At 45.9% G+C, this 17,495-nt stretch overlaps 5 annotated features.

Moving 5' to 3' along the window:
• Positions 338 to 457: an enhancer, noted in NCBI's record as "active region_18400". NCBI's record gives its function as "activates an Ori minimal core promoter by ATAC-STARR-seq in GM12878 lymphoblastoid cells {active_cell/tissue: GM12878}" and the evidence as "EXISTENCE:reporter gene assay evidence [ECO:0000049][PMID:35858748]".
• Positions 718 to 767: an enhancer, noted in NCBI's record as "active region_18399". NCBI's record gives its function as "activates an Ori minimal core promoter by ATAC-STARR-seq in GM12878 lymphoblastoid cells {active_cell/tissue: GM12878}" and the evidence as "EXISTENCE:reporter gene assay evidence [ECO:0000049][PMID:35858748]".
• Positions 778 to 827: an enhancer, noted in NCBI's record as "active region_18398". NCBI's record gives its function as "activates an Ori minimal core promoter by ATAC-STARR-seq in GM12878 lymphoblastoid cells {active_cell/tissue: GM12878}" and the evidence as "EXISTENCE:reporter gene assay evidence [ECO:0000049][PMID:35858748]".
• Positions 2,556 to 2,665: an enhancer, noted in NCBI's record as "active region_18397". NCBI's record gives its function as "activates an Ori minimal core promoter by ATAC-STARR-seq in GM12878 lymphoblastoid cells {active_cell/tissue: GM12878}" and the evidence as "EXISTENCE:reporter gene assay evidence [ECO:0000049][PMID:35858748]".
• Positions 2,696 to 2,895: an enhancer, noted in NCBI's record as "active region_18396". NCBI's record gives its function as "activates an Ori minimal core promoter by ATAC-STARR-seq in GM12878 lymphoblastoid cells {active_cell/tissue: GM12878}" and the evidence as "EXISTENCE:reporter gene assay evidence [ECO:0000049][PMID:35858748]".

Genomic DNA, 17,495 nt, shown 5'->3' with positions numbered 1-17,495 from the left:
ACAAAAAACCCAGCCAGATGCGGTGGTGCACACATGTAATCCCAGCTCAGGAGGCTGAGGATCTCTTGAGCCCAAAAGTTCAAGACCAGCCTGGGCAACATAACTGGACCCAGTCTCAAAAATAAACTAAAATAGGCCTGAACCCTCTAACGTGCATCTAGAGAGACATCCAATGCTCTCACTGATATCTGAATAAATTGCCAGGCGTAATAGTCATTCCTGTGGTCACTGTGGTTGTCTCCCTATCATTCAGCCACACCATGGGCAGGAAGTGTGCAGACTGGTCTCTGCTATAGGGCTGAGTCCTGGGATCATTCCACCACGTGCATTTCCATTCACAGCCAACCACACCCATCACCCATGGCACATGTGATGGTGGCACCCAGCACCCAGAGCCAGGCAGGACTTGCCGCTGGTGCTCTCTCCTAGCTGGGAACCAACCCAGGAGGCTGTAGGTTTGAGCACTCCTTCTTGGTTCCCTAGGGACTGGAAGTTGCACGCACTGTCAGCCAGCCATGGCTAAAGAAAGTGAAAAGTGAGGGAGTGAGCGAGAACAGAGAAAGTCCCAGGGCTGGTGTTCCACTAGCGTGCTGTGGCTCTAGTGACCACCTCTGCCTCACAGGTCTTGCAACTGAGATACAAAAACTTTTGATTCTGTGGCTTCAATACCAAGCTCAGCTCTGTAGGTCTTTGAAGTGAGCCCATTCAAGCCAAAGATTTGAGACCTTTGGACATTGTGAGGAATCACAACATGACCAAAGGCAGGTGGGGACTTGAATCTGCACATTAAGGGAAGGAAGCCTGCCCCAAAGGCATCACACATGACTAGGCAGCAGGTGGGTGACTGATGAGTCTGGGTTCACATCCTGAAGCTTTGCCTTGTGGGTGGGGACCATGCTTTACTGTGAGCCCTGCACCTGCTCTCAAGCCCTTCAAGGTGCCTTTTCCTCTCTACTAATGATCTGAGCAATGGACTTTTGTAACAGATCCCGGGGCACTCTAGGCTACCACCCAAGGCACTGCTTTTCTGCCATCCAGGTATCTGGGAAGTCAATTCATAATCAGTAGGTTTCTTGGAAAACATGGACTAGGGGTACAAAGAGGCATTTATCATCGATTATGAGAGAAGTCAGAAAACACAGTGCCAGCCTCAATGGCCCTGGGTGCTGAGATGCTGTGTCCAACACTTTCTGACCTTCTCCCTTTTTAAAAAAATTCTAGACTCCATGCTGTTCCCTTGATCTTTCTTCAGCTGTTCTAAATATTGCCTAAGCCACAGGTTTCTCCTAAGTTCAGTAGGTCCACTGAGACTTCCTAAGACCAAGCTTACATTAATCTGGAGAAGGTGGTGCAGGATTCAGGAGGACGAGAGAGACCTCAGGTTGAAACAGGAGAGTTTTTACTGAGTGTACTCGGGCCCAGCTGACTCAACGTCCAAAAGACTGGGCCCAGAACAAAGACAGCACCTGACTTTTATACACACTTTACAAAAGGGGGTGGGCTAGCTTGAAGTAAGCTTACAGTGGCATGAAAGCAGGGATACTGAGGCAGGACAAAGACAGGATTGCACATGACCGTTGCCAAGCAACCCAGATGTCCGTTATCTAGTTTTGCCTGGGCATGGGCTTATCCTATAACCTTTACTATGGTGCCCAGGCAGCTGTAGTTTGGGCCTACTCAAGCTTCTTATGACCTTTGTTGTACTTCTTAGAGAAAACAGAATACTTGAAGTCACTAGTTACAGAGAAGAGGAACCTACAAACTCATTTCATAAAACAAAGGAAATTTTTTTTTCTATGTTGAGGGAGTGCTGGGAGAGTCTTCAGAGCACATTAGATAACATTATTAGGACCTTTCCTGGGTCTGGGCTGTGCCTGTTGCTGCCTCTGGGACAAGTCAGCCTAATACAGGAAAACTTTTTTTTAAATTTTATTTTTTTTTAATTTCCAGCCTCAAAGGGACCAACCCATCTTAGAGACTTCTACAGACAGCCCGTCCCCCTGTTAGGTGACGATTTTACCAGTGTAGACCTCCCAGGATGCATTATCACTGCCAGCATCTGAGGCACTTGTAGTAACCACTTTACGCGGACCTGAATCATGAATGCTTTCCATGGAAGTGACTCAGAGGAAAAACTATTTTCAAAGCAAGAATTGGCAGGGCAGTGGAACTGATTGGATGTGCAGTTCAAGCAAGAAGGAAGAATTAAAAGTGATGGAGAAGTTGAGTTCCTGAACACCAGAAGGTTTATGGACATGGAGCTGGGCTGGAGAGGCTGAAGCTGTCCTGAGGTGGGGGAAATTTAAAGGAGTGGGAAAGGTGTAGGGGACAACTGTCCTCTTTGCCATCCAGAATCTAGTCACCCTTCTAGTAAGCCAGAACCCTAAAGTTTCTCCAATGATCTCACAGAGTCAATGGACATGAACTTGAATAGAACAGGTTGTGTGAGCTGCTGCAACCATCTCGTCACCACGTGGAGCCTGAGAAAGGCATGCAGTGGGAGGGGGCAGGGACGAGATGGAGAGAGATCAGAGAGATTAAGAGACTCCTGAAGCAAGCTATATTGGTTCCACCCCAAACTTTTCTGTTACATGAGCCCAACATATTCCCTTTTTTGCTTAAGAAAAGAAAAATAAAATAGAATATTAAACAGTGCAACTGCTGTAGAAAAGTTTGGTGGTTCGTCAAAAAATTAAACATAGAATTATCCTATGACTCAGCAACTCTAATTCTGAGTATATATCCAAAAGAACTGAAAGTGAAACTCAAACCAGTATTTTCACACCAACGTCTGTGACAACATTATTCACGATAGCCAAAAGGTAAAAACAACCCCAGTGTCCATTAACAGTTAAATGGATAACAAAATGTAGTATGCACATGCGATGGAACATTGTTTAGCCATCAAGAGGAATGAAATTCTGATACATGCTGCAGCATGGATGAGCTTTGAAAATATTGTGCTAAGTGAAATAAGCCAGGCACAGAAAGACAAATGTCTTGTAACTGCACTTATATGAGGGACCTAGAATAGTCAAATTCATAGAGATAGAAAGTAGAATAGAAGTTACTAGGGGCAGGGGTTGGCGGGGTGGAGAGGCAGAGCTGTTGTTTAATGAGTACAGAGTTAACAATGGGGGAAAATATTTTAGGTACAGATAGTGATGATGGTTACACAACACTGGGAATGTATTTAATGCCACCGGATTGGATGCTTACAAATGGTTAAAATGATAAATATTATATATATTTTGCCACAATTTTTTTAAAAAACAGAAATTTATTATCTTGCAGTTCCAGAGACTAGAAGTCTGAAATCAACATGGGGGTGGTGAGGGTGAAAAAAAAAGATGATCAGAGAGTTTGGACATTTTTAGTGACAATCTACTCTGATAAACCAAGCACCTGAATTCCCATGGGAATAAGGATATGTATGGTCACCTTTACCAATTGACTGACTGTTTCCTCGGGGTCTCCGATGAGTTGGCTGTCTGGCGCAGGGTGCACAACAGTTCTTAAAGCCACACATCTGTCCAAAAGCTCAAAGAGGCAATAGTACATCTTACACTATTGCAGATCTTCCAGTAAGTACATATATATATCTCACTGTAGTGCTGGGAGTAACATGGTGGCCTCAACAACCCTGGCAAATTGCCCTGTAACAAAACAGCACTGTGGGAAGTCACCTTTACCAATCATTGGTGCATCATAACGAGAGTCTCCTCTTTCTTCTATTCAGGGTTATTTGAGTTCTTTTGCTAATTTAACTGTGGCATCTGGCCTGGGAACATCAAAAGACAACAAAACTCCTAATCATCAGGGGAAGAGTCAAGTCTCCCTGCCCCAGGAGTGATGACTTATTACAACAGCTCTGGGTTGGTGCTGATGGGTTTGCATGTTCCCCTTCAGAATCCATCCTCTGTGGACTTGAACCTACCAGGGGATCATGGTGAATTCTTCCAAGGTCTGGGGAGGGGTTGGTGCTCTAGGCCTCTGGTAATTTCCAAACGGTGTCTCTCTGAAGGAGGGCTGCCAGCCAGCAGGTTCCAACAGGGTCACACCATCCCCATCCACCAGCTCCTGGGATTTGCAAAAACACAAAAACAACTTTGCATTAACAGTCCATCTGAAACCCAGAGAAAGTGCGACCAGGCCTTTCACCAAGATGTGAAGCCTCTGCCTGGCCCAGAGGGATACATGTGTACTCCAGGCTATATTCTGAACCTTCATGCCTGTGACCGGGCCATGCCTCACATGTCGTTCCTACTAAACTGACTTGATCATGTCGAGCCCCTGTGGTAATCCATTCTCCCTTTTGGTTTTGAAACAGGGTCTCTCGTTGTTGCCCAGGCTGGAATGCAAAGGCACGACCACAGCTCACTCTAACCTCAAACTCCTGGGCTCAAGGGATCCTCCCATGTCAGCCTCCCAAGCAGCTGAGACCACAAGTGCGCACCACCACACCCAGCTAATTTTTTTGTTTTTTAAACCAGGTACTGTGAGTGCTCACCTGATTCTGGGCTCTAACAAAGGTGTTTTTTTATGTGTGTGGAGATAGTTGTTAAATTGGTGCCTTGCTGGGTGGATGATGGGTGGAGCCTTCTATTCTGCCATCTTGCTCCACCTCTCTCCTCCTTTTTATTTTTTTAAATAAAAAGGGGGTTTCACTATGTTGCCCAGGCTAGTCGCAAACTCCTGGGCTGAAGTGATCCTCTGGCCTCCCAAAGGGCTGGAATTACAGGCGTGAGTCACTGAACCCAGCCCATCTACTCTCTTAGTGTTCCCATCCCCACACTGTTCTGTCTTCCCTTTACCAGTTTATCCTGTTCTCAACTTTGGTCCAGATACAATGCCATTTTTGTGGACCAACCTTCCTCATCTTCACTGAGGTCATACCTGGGTTCAAACACCAGCTGAGACATCACAACCTCTATGACCTTGAGTAGCCATTCATTTTTTCAGGTATGCATCTGTATGATGGGCTTGATAGTTCCATCTGTTTCAGGCAAGGTTCCCTTGCAGTCACAGGAACCACTCTAACTATTTTAAGCAGAAATGGATTTCATATAGGAGTAGTGTGCTCACAAAACCTTCACATGGGTCAAAGAAGCAGGCTAGAGAAGAGGCCTGCAGGAAAGACTCATAAAACAATACTGCAGGACTAACCCACCAGGGAAGCCACCTCTTTTAACTCAAGCACAAAACTCTAGAATCAGGAAGTGGCACAGCCCCAGGACCTCTGAATCAACCTTTGCTTCCAGTGATGTAACACCTCAACTGTGATGGAGATCAGGGGCTACCATGACAATGTTTACCCCCATGGCCCCTCCACACCGACTAGATCTGCACCAACAAAAATATATATGACCCTTACTGCCACTCCCTTCGCACTTAATTCAGTTCCAAAGTCAGCTCTCTCATGGCTGCACCTAATCAGCAGCTTCCAAATCATATGTGGAGCCCTGTTTGCAAGGCAGGCTGGGAAATAGTTTCTGTCTCTTCAGCTCTGTAGAGAGGAAAAAGCAGAAGAAGGTTGCAGTGAATGGATGAGGTCTCACTCACCTCAGAGGGGTGTTGTGAAGAGTGCAGCAAGACTCTGACATCCTCATCAGTTTATTCATTCATTTACTCGGCAAATGTTTATTGCCAATTATTGCACCGGGAGTTCAATGATGAATGCCGCACAGTCCGTGCCCTCAGGGAGCTTACAGTCTATGCTATGGGCTGAGTTGTGTCCCCTTTCTCAAATTCATATGCTGAAGCCCTAACCTCCAATGTGACTATATTTAGAGCTATGGTTTTAGGAGGTAAAGCTAAACAGGGTTATGGGGTGAGATCCTAAATTGATAGGATTGGTGACCATATTAGAAGAGAAGCAGACACCAGGGCCCTCTTTCTCTGCACACACACACAATGGAACTGCACTGGAGGATACCTCAAGAAGGCAGCTGTCTGCAAGCCAGGAAGAGTCTTCACCAGGAATGGAGCCACGCTAGTCCCATGATCTCAGAATTCCAGTCTCCAGAGCTGTGGGAAAATACATTTCTGTTGTTGAAGCCACCAGTCGGTGGTACTTTGTTATGGCAGCCTAAGCAGATTAAGACAGTCCCGGAGGGTTCAAGCCAGAAAGCAGGCAAGTCCAGCACAGGCTGGTAAATGCTAGTGGAGGACAAGCACCAAGAGCTCTGAGAGCACAGAAGAGGGGCACCATTATAAGCCTTAAGGGGCCAAACGAGACATTTGGGAATCTAAGGGTAATGCCAAGGTTCAGAGCGAGGAGAGATCCTGGCATGATTCCAAACACAAGCAAGTCAATAGAGCTAGAAATGCCCTATTTCTAGGGTGTTTGAGGAGTTTGCAAAGGAAGGGGTGAGTGATCAGGCTAGAGCAGATCCTTCTAGGATGGAATCATTGGAAGGACTCAAAGGTATGCCACAGGTGCACTCATCTACAGCTTTAATAAAGGTGAGGGATAGAGCACGTCAGGAAAAGAGAATGGAGGCAACCTAAGAGAGGCTAGAAAACTTAGGCACAAACCCTCGCTGTCCTTTCTCATTTGCACAGCGTGAACTCGGTCTTCAGAATGACCCACCAAATGTGTGCACATTACCTTGATCGAAAGGGAGCTTTTGCAACTCTGCAGAGGGATCTTTTAGAGGCAGATGAGGCTGTGTAACTGGTTAAAGCAGATGTTACTATCAATCTATACACCCTGAAACAGTGTAGACAAGCCAGCCCCCAGTGCTGCTGGCAGAGTTGCAAACTTTAAATGCCACCTTGTAAATCATCTCATCTTTGTCTACTGCAAGAGTCAGTACCAGACAGGGTGAACAACCATTCTAGTTTGCCCGGACTGAGGGGAGTGTTTCAAGAAGACAGGATTTTCAGTTCAAAAACCGGGAAATATTAGTTTGGTACAAAAGTAATAGCAGTTTTTACCATTAAAGGTGAAAACTTTAATGTTTTTAAATATTAAAAGGTTTTTGCTGACCGGGCACAGTGGCTCATGCCTGTAATCCCAGCACTTTGAGAGGCCAAGGCGGGTGGATCACTTGAGGTCAGGAGTTCGAGACCAGCCTGGCCAACATGGTGAAACCCCATCTCTACTAAAAATACAAAAAATTAGCCAAGCATGGTAGTGCATGCCTGGAATCCCAGCTACTCGGGAGGCTGAGACAGGAGAATCACTTGAATGTGAGAGGTGGAGGTTGCAGTCCAGCCTGGGTGACAGGGCAAAATTTTGTCAAAAAAGAAAAAAAAAAAAAAAAAGTTTTTTGCCATTACCTTTAATGGTAAGAACCACAATGACTTTTGCACCAACTACAAGGGAAATAGCCTTATCTTACACAAGATAAATGCATGTTCAGATCTCATGGGCACTGTGAGCTGCATGCAGAGATGCTGTGGGTGCCCCACAGAATCCCTGAATCCCCTCTGCTCTCACAAGCCTTGGAGGTCCTGCTGCAGGTACGTTGGATTCCCCTGAAGGCTGTTTCAGCTTCCCTGGGGGACAGGCTGGAAGTGCTGCATACTTAATGACACCAGCAACAGACCTCAATGGGAGTGGGAGGACAGACACACACCCCTGCCTCCTTACCCTTTGGGTGGGCAACTCTGAGGGTGTTCCACACTCCCCCACAAGAGGGCTCCACCATGTTGTGCCACCATGGAACAATGGCGGTCCATGGCTCCTTGCTGCGTCCTGTCTTACTTCCCTGTTCCCCTGCCTGTGTTTCCCAGGATGGCATCATTTGCACCCAAACCCTTAACTTCAGGGCTATTCTGAGGGAACCCCAGCAAATACCTGCTGCTAAGGATGTTTGACTCTATATGGATTTAGAGAAGGAGGACAAGTAGGGCAGTGGCATCATCATATTTGTATTTTTATTAAGAATAGAAACAAAAATTCCTGCCTTCACGAAGCCTACATTTGAGGAAGGAGGCTGTGGTGGGCAGAATAATGGCCCCCTATGATATTATGAGATACTGGTTTTTGTCCGTGGTTTCTGGCTCGTAACTCCCATAGCTCTTGTTAGAGTGAAGAGAATCTCTCTGACCTTCTCCTGATCTCCTTTCACCTGTCTTAATTGTGGGTCTTGAAACTCTTATTCCAGAGAGGGTCCTGCCCCATAACCTGGATGAAGGAATACTGCATGGAGACGCCAAGAAGAGCCTGAGGACTTGCTGGGCTTAGATCACACTCTTTTTGTCCAATCACCTTCCGTCCTTCCTTCCTTCCTTTCTTGAGTCTCGCTCTTTGGCCAGGCTGGAGTGCAGTGGCACTATCTCAACTCACTGCAACCTCCGCCTCCTGGGTCTAACTGATTCTCCTGCCTCAGCCTCCCAAGTAGCTGGGACTACAGGTTCATGCCACCATGCCCAGCTAATCTTTGTATTTTTAGTAGAGATGGGGTTTCACCATGTTGGCCAGGATGGTCTCGATCTCTTGACTTTGTGATCCGTCCACCTCGGCATCCCAAAGTGCTGGGATTATAGGCATGAGCCGCTGCGCCCGGCCTCCAGTCACATTTATATGTGGTTGTCCATGCTTTGGTCATTCCTATCCAATGAAGTCTCCATAAAAGGCCCAAAGGACAGGGTCCAGTGGCTTCCAGAGAGCTGAGCACATGGAGGTGGACAGGAAAGTGAACAGAAACTCATCCAGGTGCTGGGAGAGTGTTGGGCCCCCACTCCATGGGGACAGAAGCTCCTGTGTTCAGGACCCTTCCAGACCTCATGCTGTGAATCTCCTCCTCTGGCTGTTTCTCTGTATCTTTTAATATATCCCTTGTAATAAACCAGTGAACATAGGTGTTTCCCTGTGTTTCGTGAGCCTCTCTAGCATATTAATCAAAACCGAAGGGGGTGTTGGAAATCTCAACTGGAAACCAGTTGGTCAGAAGTTCCTGAGACCCGGACTTGGGGCAGGTGGGAGGAGGGGCCACTCTTGTGGGACTGAGCCCTGGGCCCGTGGTTTCTGAGGCTGTCCCTGGGTAGATAGTGTCAGAATTAAATTGAATTGGAGGACACCCAGCTGGTGTCCGCTGCAGAACGCAGAATTGATTGCTTGCTGGTGTGTGGGAAGTAATCCCTATAATACCCACACATTTGGTCACGGAAGTCTTTTTTTTTGAGGGGGGACAAAGTCTCGCTTTGTCGCCCAGGCTGGAACACAGTGGTGTGATCTCGCTGCAACCTCTGCCTCCTAGGTTCAAGGGATTCTTGTGCCTCAGCCTCCCAAGTAGCTGAGATTACAGGGGCCCACCACCACGTCTGGCTAATTTTTGTATTTTTAGTAAAGACGGGGTTTCACCATGTTAGCCAGGCTGGTCTTCAACTCCTGACCTCGAGTGATCTGCCCACTTCAGCCTCCCAAAATGCTGGAATTACAGGCGTGAGCCACCATGCCGAGCTGGCCACAGAAGTCTTCTGTGTTTATTGTTGTTGTGATGCGAGGGCTAAGGAAAAATGCTTTGAGGTTTTTCTTCACATCCCCGTGAAAGATGCCCATGCCCTAATTTCCTGGAATCTGTGAATGTTACATGGTAAAGAGGAATGAAGGTTGCAGATGAAATGAAGGCTGCCGATCACCTGACTTTCAAATAAAGAGATGATCCTGGATTGTCTATGAAGGGCCAATGTAGTCTTAAGTGTCCTTAAAAGATGACAAAAGAAGGCAGAAGAGTTTTCAGGGTCAGAGAAAGAGATGAAGTGGGCCGGGCACGGTGGCTCACGCCTGTAATCCCAGCACTTTGGGAGGCTGAGGTGGGCAGATCACCTGAGGTCAGGAGTTTGAGACCAGCCTGGCCAACACGGTAAAATCCCATCTCTACTGAAAATACAAAAATTAGCCAGGCATGGCGGAGGGCACCTGTAATCCCAGCTACTCGGGGGGCTGAGGCATGAGAATCTCTTGAAGCCGGGAGGCGGAAGTTGCAGTGAGCCGAGATCGTGCCACTGCACTCCACCCTGGGCAACAGAGCGAGACTCTGTCTCCAAAAACAAAAACAAAAAAAGATGAAGTGATGAAAGCAGACGTCGAGATGATGGGATGGCTGGCTTTGAAGATAGAGGAGAGCCTCAAGCCAAAGGGTGCAGGCAGCTTCCAGAAGCTGGAAAAGGAAAAAGAAATTGATTCTGCCTCTGAAACAGAACACAGCCTTGCCAACACCTTCATTTTAGTGAAACCCAGTGAGACCCAGTGGGAACTTCGAATTCTAGAATCGTAAAAAAATAAATAAATAAAAATCGTGCATTGTTTCAAGCCACTACGTTTATGATTTGTTATGGCAGCAATAGTTAACAAATACAGGCACAAAAATGGAATATTTTACAATATTATAATTACAAATCTACTATGTGAAATGATGATAAATGTTATGGAGAAAAATGGATCAGCAAAGTGGGACAGCACTGTGGGAGGAGGAAGGAGATGCAACAGGTGACACAGCTCATGGCTCCAAGTCTTGCCATCAGCGTGCAGATGACCTACGTGGCAGGGGAGCATCACATTTGGGGATTTCCTCGGTTCCTTCTTCCTTTGACTTCTCTGTCACAGCTCTCCCCTTGATCCCACAACTCAACACCTAGGGCATCTCTGGGACTGTCATTTTGGAGCTGGTGCTACACATCCACATTACTATCCCTCAAAGCAGTTGGTTCCATTTGTGGCACGGAGCTCTCTGGTGAAATTGCCCAGATATAAAGTTTCAACAGCCTCAGAATTTCATAAGGCATTTTCATTTTCTTATTTCACTGTCAACGAGAGGTCTTTTAGGCATTTGCTTACAGTCCACAACTTTAATCGACACAACCCAGTTTCAGTTGGACACCGATTATTGATTCCCTTCAAGATCAGGCTATGATGAACCTTTCTCAGGGTGGGAGCCCCCAGAAGCAGCATAACCACTGTCCACTTGTTAAAATGCAGAGAACCTGCTCATATTCCAGTGGAGAGAGCAAGTTCAGATTTGTTACGAGCATTGAGGAGCTGCTTGGATGGAACTTCAGTCCCCATCCTCCTGAGCAGAGGCATTCAATATTTATGAGCAAATGACATCACCTGCTGTTTTCTGTTTCATAGGAGTCCATTCGGATTATCAACAATATATTAGGGTAGCTGTCAACAGGCACGCAGGCTTCCAAGCTGGCCCCTTATTGGCGCAGAAAGAGCTCAACAGACATTCCCCTTAGCTTGAAAGACCTCACATTCATAGATACACCAAAGGGACAGAAATGCCGACACTGAACTGCTGTGTTCTCCTGATGTGACATAACATGCCAGTCAAATGTGAAGATGGAGACAGAGGTTGGAGGGATGCAGCCACAAACCAAGGAACACCAGGAGCCACCAAAGCTGGAAAAGGCAGGGAGGGCTCCTCCCTTTGAGCTTTCATACTCAGGGAGTATGACCCCACTAACACCTGGGCTTCAGACTCCGTCCTCCAGAACCATGAAAGGGTCAGTTTCCATTCTTCCAAGCCACCCAGTTGTGGTACTCTATTAGCGCAGCTTTGGGAAAGTGATCACAGGGCAGTCTAGGTGTGCACAGCTCAGCAGTGACAAAGGGGCAGCGGAGGCTGATGCTGCCTGGATTCCCTTCATCATAGGAATTCTCCTCTGCTGAGGCAAAGTAACTTAGAACCAGCCACTCACTAACCAGCTAAAGTACTTCACCAGAGGCTGGTGAGTCTGCTGTGTTGCCCTTAGCACCCCCGCCCCCCTCGGACCTGAAGCAAAGGCAGGCCATGGCTAACTTTCCATCACCTCCCTGCTTCTTGCCCAGTGGGTCTTCCCACCCTGGGTGGAGATGTCCCTTTGAACACACCCTCTTAGCCAGGAGCCCTCCCTAGCTCCAGAGTTGCCCTCCAAAGTCTTCCTCCCACACACTTTTCATGATCAAAGGGATACATCTTTCTGCACTCAGGAAGGAGGGCTTGAAAGCTGCCCTTATTTCCAGATGATAGGGACAGTCTTTTGGATATAATATTTATCCCCAATGCCTACAGGGGCACCTGGCCCAGAACAGGCACCCCCTAGGCACTCATTGCATGAGGGTACCCTACATTTTTTGGCCTATTGCCTACTGTGGGAATTCACATCCAGTACGTGTGGGCAGTACTGTGGGGCAGGGGCGTTTTTAAGCAAGCAGGTCCTGCAGTGCCTTTTTTGTCTCTTGTCTATGTAGCAGCCTCTGAACTCTCCAGATCTGATGATTCTCCCTAGGTTGATCGGCCTGATGGAAAATGTTAAGTTCCTAACCACTTGGGCAGCCATTTACCTCTCTCTCCTTCCTCTATTTCTTCTTTCTCCCAGCTTTTATAAAGGGTTGTGAGCATGTCCCCAAAGTTATTGGAAAATGAATTCTGCAAAGCCTTAGGCCACGTTTTTGAAAGTCTGTCTTCTACCACTAGGTGGTAGTGTTTCCACAGCTTCCTCTCCCTCATCTTGCCATTTGCTTGGAGTGGCCCCAAAAGACAAATGCATTTTATTCTCTGCACATTTAAGGGGAGAAAAACCCTCACAATTCGCTACTCTAAAATTGAAATCATTCTTTTAACACATGTCCTCTATATTACCTTGAAGAGGTGCGATTTGCAAACTAGTTTGTTCTGGCAGGTTTATTTTCCCACTTTAAATCAGGTGGTTTGTGGGCATATTACTCGACAATTTTTTGAAAAAGTGATAGATTGTTTTTAAAGAAGTTTTAGGTCTTCAAAACATTGAATGGAAAATATATTGATTTTCCAGGTGCCCCTTTCCTCTGCCACACAGTTTCCCTATTGTCAACATTTTGCGTTACTAAGGAACATTTGTTATAATTGATAAGCCAATAAAGATACATTATTATTGACTCGAGTCCGTAGATCACATTAGGGTTCACACTTAGTACTGTACATTCTATGAGTTTTGGCAAATGTGTAATGACATGTGTCCACCATTTTAGTATTGTACAGAATAGTTTTGTTGACCTAAAAATTCACTATTCACCTCTTCCTCCCTCCCCCTAACTCCTGGATCAATGGTTATTGATCTTGTTACTGTCTCCATTATTTTGCCTTTTCCATCATGTCATGCAGTTGACATTATACACTGTATAGCCTTTTCATCTTGGCTTATTTCACTTAGCAGCATATATTTAAGATTCCTTCTTGCCTTTCCCTAGCCGGACAGCTCATTTCTTTCTATCATTAAAAAATATTTCATGGTATGGTACAACACCATTTGTTTATCAATAGGTGAATACCTATTGAAGGACATCTTGGTTGCTTCTACATTTTAGTAATTATGAACAAAACTGCTATAAACATTTTTTGTGCAGACATAAGTTTCAACTCATTTGGGTAAATACCAAGGGATGCAATTGCTGGATCATATGGTAAGACTATGTTTACTGGGAAAGTTTTATCAAGGAAGTTGGCTAAAGGAAAAGAATGCCTTGAACATTTTCATCAAAACATCATCTGCAACATTGGGGATCCAGCTGTTTTCTAAGGAAACTTGATTGTTCCTGACATAAAAGTGAGGTGGCCACAGGGATCCTGCAAAGGGCCCTTCCATTGTAATAAGGGAGGCCACGGTATCAGCAAAGAAATGGATCTGCCTCCAACTTGCTGCATAAAGAGTCTATGTTTAGAGCAGAAAATAACCTACAACTTCAACTGTCTTCTGGCCACAGCTAATAAAAAACAGGTGCATGGTGGTAGCAGAAGGAAAAACATTTATGTTTATAAAATAAAATGGCAGTGGTGCTTCCACATTGTAGGAGGGGGTGATATGGTTTGGCTCTGGGTCCCCACCCAGATCTCATCTTGAATTGTAATAATCCCCACATGTCATAAAAGGGACCCGGTGGGAGACAGTTGAATCATGGGGGTGGTTTCCCTCATACTGTTCTTGTGATAATGAATAAGTCTCATGAGATCTGATGGTTTTATAAAGGGGAGTTCCCTCGCACATGCTTTCTCTTGCTTGCCACCATGTAAGATGTGACTTTGCTCCTCCTTTGCCTTCCATCATACAATATATTTGCCTTCCATACATACAGTGTATACCTAGATACACACACTACACATATACAAGCATGCATGCTGCAGATATGCACACATGCACATGTGCACATAATACACACATAAACACATATATATACACACATATACATGTGTATATACAGCATACAGAATCAGGCAAAATCCCAGATGGCTCTTCCAATGAATGGAACAAACGTCTGCCAGAAGCTATGACATTCTTCGTCAATGCTGCATCCCAAGTGAAGCCCTCTTGCCTGCCACCATGTAAGATGTGACTTTGCTCCTCCTTTGCTTTCCACCATGATTGTGAGGCCTCCCCAGCCATGTGGAACTGTGAGTCCATTAAACCTCTTCCCTTTATAAATTACCCTGTCTCAGATATGCCCTCATTGGCATTTTGGGGGTCCACAGGCTGACAGCTGACTCACTGTCTCCCTCACTACAGCCAGACAGGCGCTTTACTCCATCCTTCCTTGCTTAGAGCTGCCACTCACCTTGGGGAAACAATCTTATTCAATAGCAAAGGAAATGCATGTTAGCTACCTAGTGTCCTTAGATAAATAAAGGCTCCACAGACATGCAAGGAGAATGCAAGCTAAATGAGACAGACCAGACAAATAAACTAGTAAGACTGTTTTGGAGGCTGCAGAGAATAACTCCGGGGACCAAAAAATATTTTAATCAAATTAAAACTCCAGAGAGATATAAGATAATAAAGCAATACTTTAAAAAGCAGGAAATTTATGAAAAGGGAACAGAAAGCGAGGAAGCTCTTAAAGATTAAATATATACTTGCTCAACTTATCAATAGTGACAGGAAACAGATTGGGGTACAGTGGGAGTGGAGGTGGGGATGGGAGGAATTACATAGAAGCAGGAAGATACTTGCAGGAGGAAGGATATGCTCACTCTCTCGAAACATCACATTGTACAGTTTTAATATGTTTAGTGTATGTCAGTTGTACCTCAGTAAGGTGGTTTCAAAAATATACTTGCAGGCCAGGTAATCCCGCAAGCCTATAATCCTAGCACATTGGGAGGCCAAGGCGAGCAGATCACTTGAGGACAGGAGTTTAAGCCTGGGCAACACGGCTAAACCCTGTGTCTAGTAAAAAAATCCAAAAATGGCTGGGCGCAGTCGCTCATGCCTGTAATCCTAGCACTTTGGGAGGCCGAGGTGGGCAGATACGAGGTTGGGAGATCAAGACCAACCTGGGTAATGTGGTGCAATCCCATCTCTACAAAAAATACACAAATTAGCTGGGTGTGGTGGCACGTGCCTGTAATCCCAGCTACTTGGGAGGCCGAGGCAGGAGAATCACTTGAACCAGGGAGTCAGAGGTTGCATTGAGCCGAGATCGTGCCACAGCACTGCAGCCTGGCGACAGAGTGAGACTCTGTCTCAAAAAAAAAGAAAAGAAAAGAAAAGAAAATCCAAAAAGTAGCCAAGCGTGGTGGCTCAAACTTGTATGTAGTCCCAGCTACTAGAGAGGCTGAGGCATGAGAACTGCTTGAACCCGGGAGGTGAAGGTTGCAGAGAGCCAAGACTGCACCACTGCACTCCAGCCTGGGTGATAGAGTGAGACTCTGTCTCAAAACAAACAAACAAACAAACAAACAAAAAAACAAAAAAAAAGCTTGCTCCACAAAAAGCTATACAAGCATTGGAAAAATCAATGTGAATTTGAGGAAAGTGATTAGAATGTAAAACAAAGAGACCAACTTTTAGGGTCTCTTTAGTGCTCCCTAAGGTGGAGGACAGATGGACATCTCAATGGCAACCTCCATACTCATGGAAGGTTGTCTGAAATGTATACAGTCCAACCATTATTGTAGAGTAAATTTATTCCTGAATTAAGCCAGATGGAGGATGGCACTGTCAGCTACCTCAGAACTGCTTTCATGTAACAAATGGGACTTGGGTTAATGTTCCCTGAGCTGGCATTTATGGAAACTCTGAGAAGCAGCCTTATAAAACCTGCTCTTCTGTTTATTTGAGGGCTGTTGGCAATCATCCATTTATTCCTTCATTCATCCATTCATTCCTTCAGCAGTCAGCTGTCAAGTGCTTGAGGTTGGGGGTGCACATATAATTATAAGAAGGTGGCTGGGCATGGTGGCTCATGCCTGCAATCCCAGCATTTTGGGAGGCTGAGGCAGAAGGATTGCTAGAGATCAGAAGTTCGAGGCTGCAGTGAGCCAAGATTGCACCACTGTACTCCAGCCTGGGAAAGAGAGAGAGGCCCCATCTCTTTTAAAAAAAAAATTATAAGAAGATGCCTCTTCTCAAATGACACACACATTTGATACCACAAGTATCAAATGTCTACTGTGTGCCTGGCATCATGCTGTGTACAAGGAAACCAGCACAGTTCCTGTCCTCAGGAGGCTCACAGTTTAGTGGAGAAGAAAGAGAAGAGTTCTAATGAAGTATGATTGCTGCATGTCATAAAAGTAATTAAGAGGGCATCATATGATGGACTGCATCTTATAGGGGACCGCAGCCTTCATCTGTTAGAGAATTGAATGATCTGTGTTTGTATACCTAGTCCTGGGAAAAGTTCCTGGTAATCAGATCAACCACGGGATGAAGAAGGCTCCAAAGTCATCAGCTCTGCCTTCAAGCAAAGATTCAGTCTCGAAGCAGCTTAGGTGATCCACGTAAGAAATGATGCAGAGAAAGAAATGGTTCTGAGCTGAGAGACCAGGAGTGGGACTCTAGGAGAGGGGGTAAACTCAGCTGATGCGGCACGATGATTCAGCAGGGAAAGTGGACAGGACTTGGCGACTGGCTGTGTGGAGTGGGCGAGCAGGTCAGTTGGTGGGGGAGTCGGGGATAAGACAAAGGGAGCAGTTTTCAGGGCTCCTGGGTTTCTTCCCCGGTTACTGAGCAGCTTGTGGGTAGAAATCAGGACAGAGCAGAGTGAGTAGACTGGATGGGAAAGATGGCTTTCATTTTGACCTGTTGTGTTTGATGTGTTCTTGGGAAATTAGCCTGTGTTTCTGACCTAGGTAAAGCCCCTCAGCCTGAAGTCGCAGTCCAGGGGTTAGAGCGAGACAGTCTGGGAGGAAGCAGCTCTCTTTGGTGGAGTTTTGCCCACCATTCCCCGCTCATCCACCCTATAGGTCAAGGTCTCCATGGTGGAAGGTGATGACCTCCACTCACTGGGATGAGTGAAAAATATTAGCGCTTCTGTTTATATTAGGTTTTTCTTTTTTCTAAAAAAGAAAATTATTCCTCTGCTGCTTTATTATGTGGGTTGACCCTGGTGCTTGCTCTTGCTGCAGAAGCCAGACAGGCATCAGAGGGGTGCACTAGGCCCCCTGATGGGCACCTGGGGTGCCAGGTGGTGTGGGCTGACATGGCTCCACACACCTTCTCTGCTTCCAGAATTGTGCTGTTATTGCAGATCCCAAATTTTCATTAAGAGAATGTGTGGTTTATATTATCTAGTCTTTAACTGA

The sequence above is a fragment of the Homo sapiens genome, chromosome 21, assembly GCF_000001405.40.
Source record: "Homo sapiens chromosome 21, GRCh38.p14 Primary Assembly".
In the NCBI taxonomy this organism is placed as follows: Eukaryota; Metazoa; Chordata; class Mammalia; order Primates; family Hominidae; genus Homo; species Homo sapiens.
This window is presented reverse-complemented; position numbering and strand designations above follow the sequence as displayed.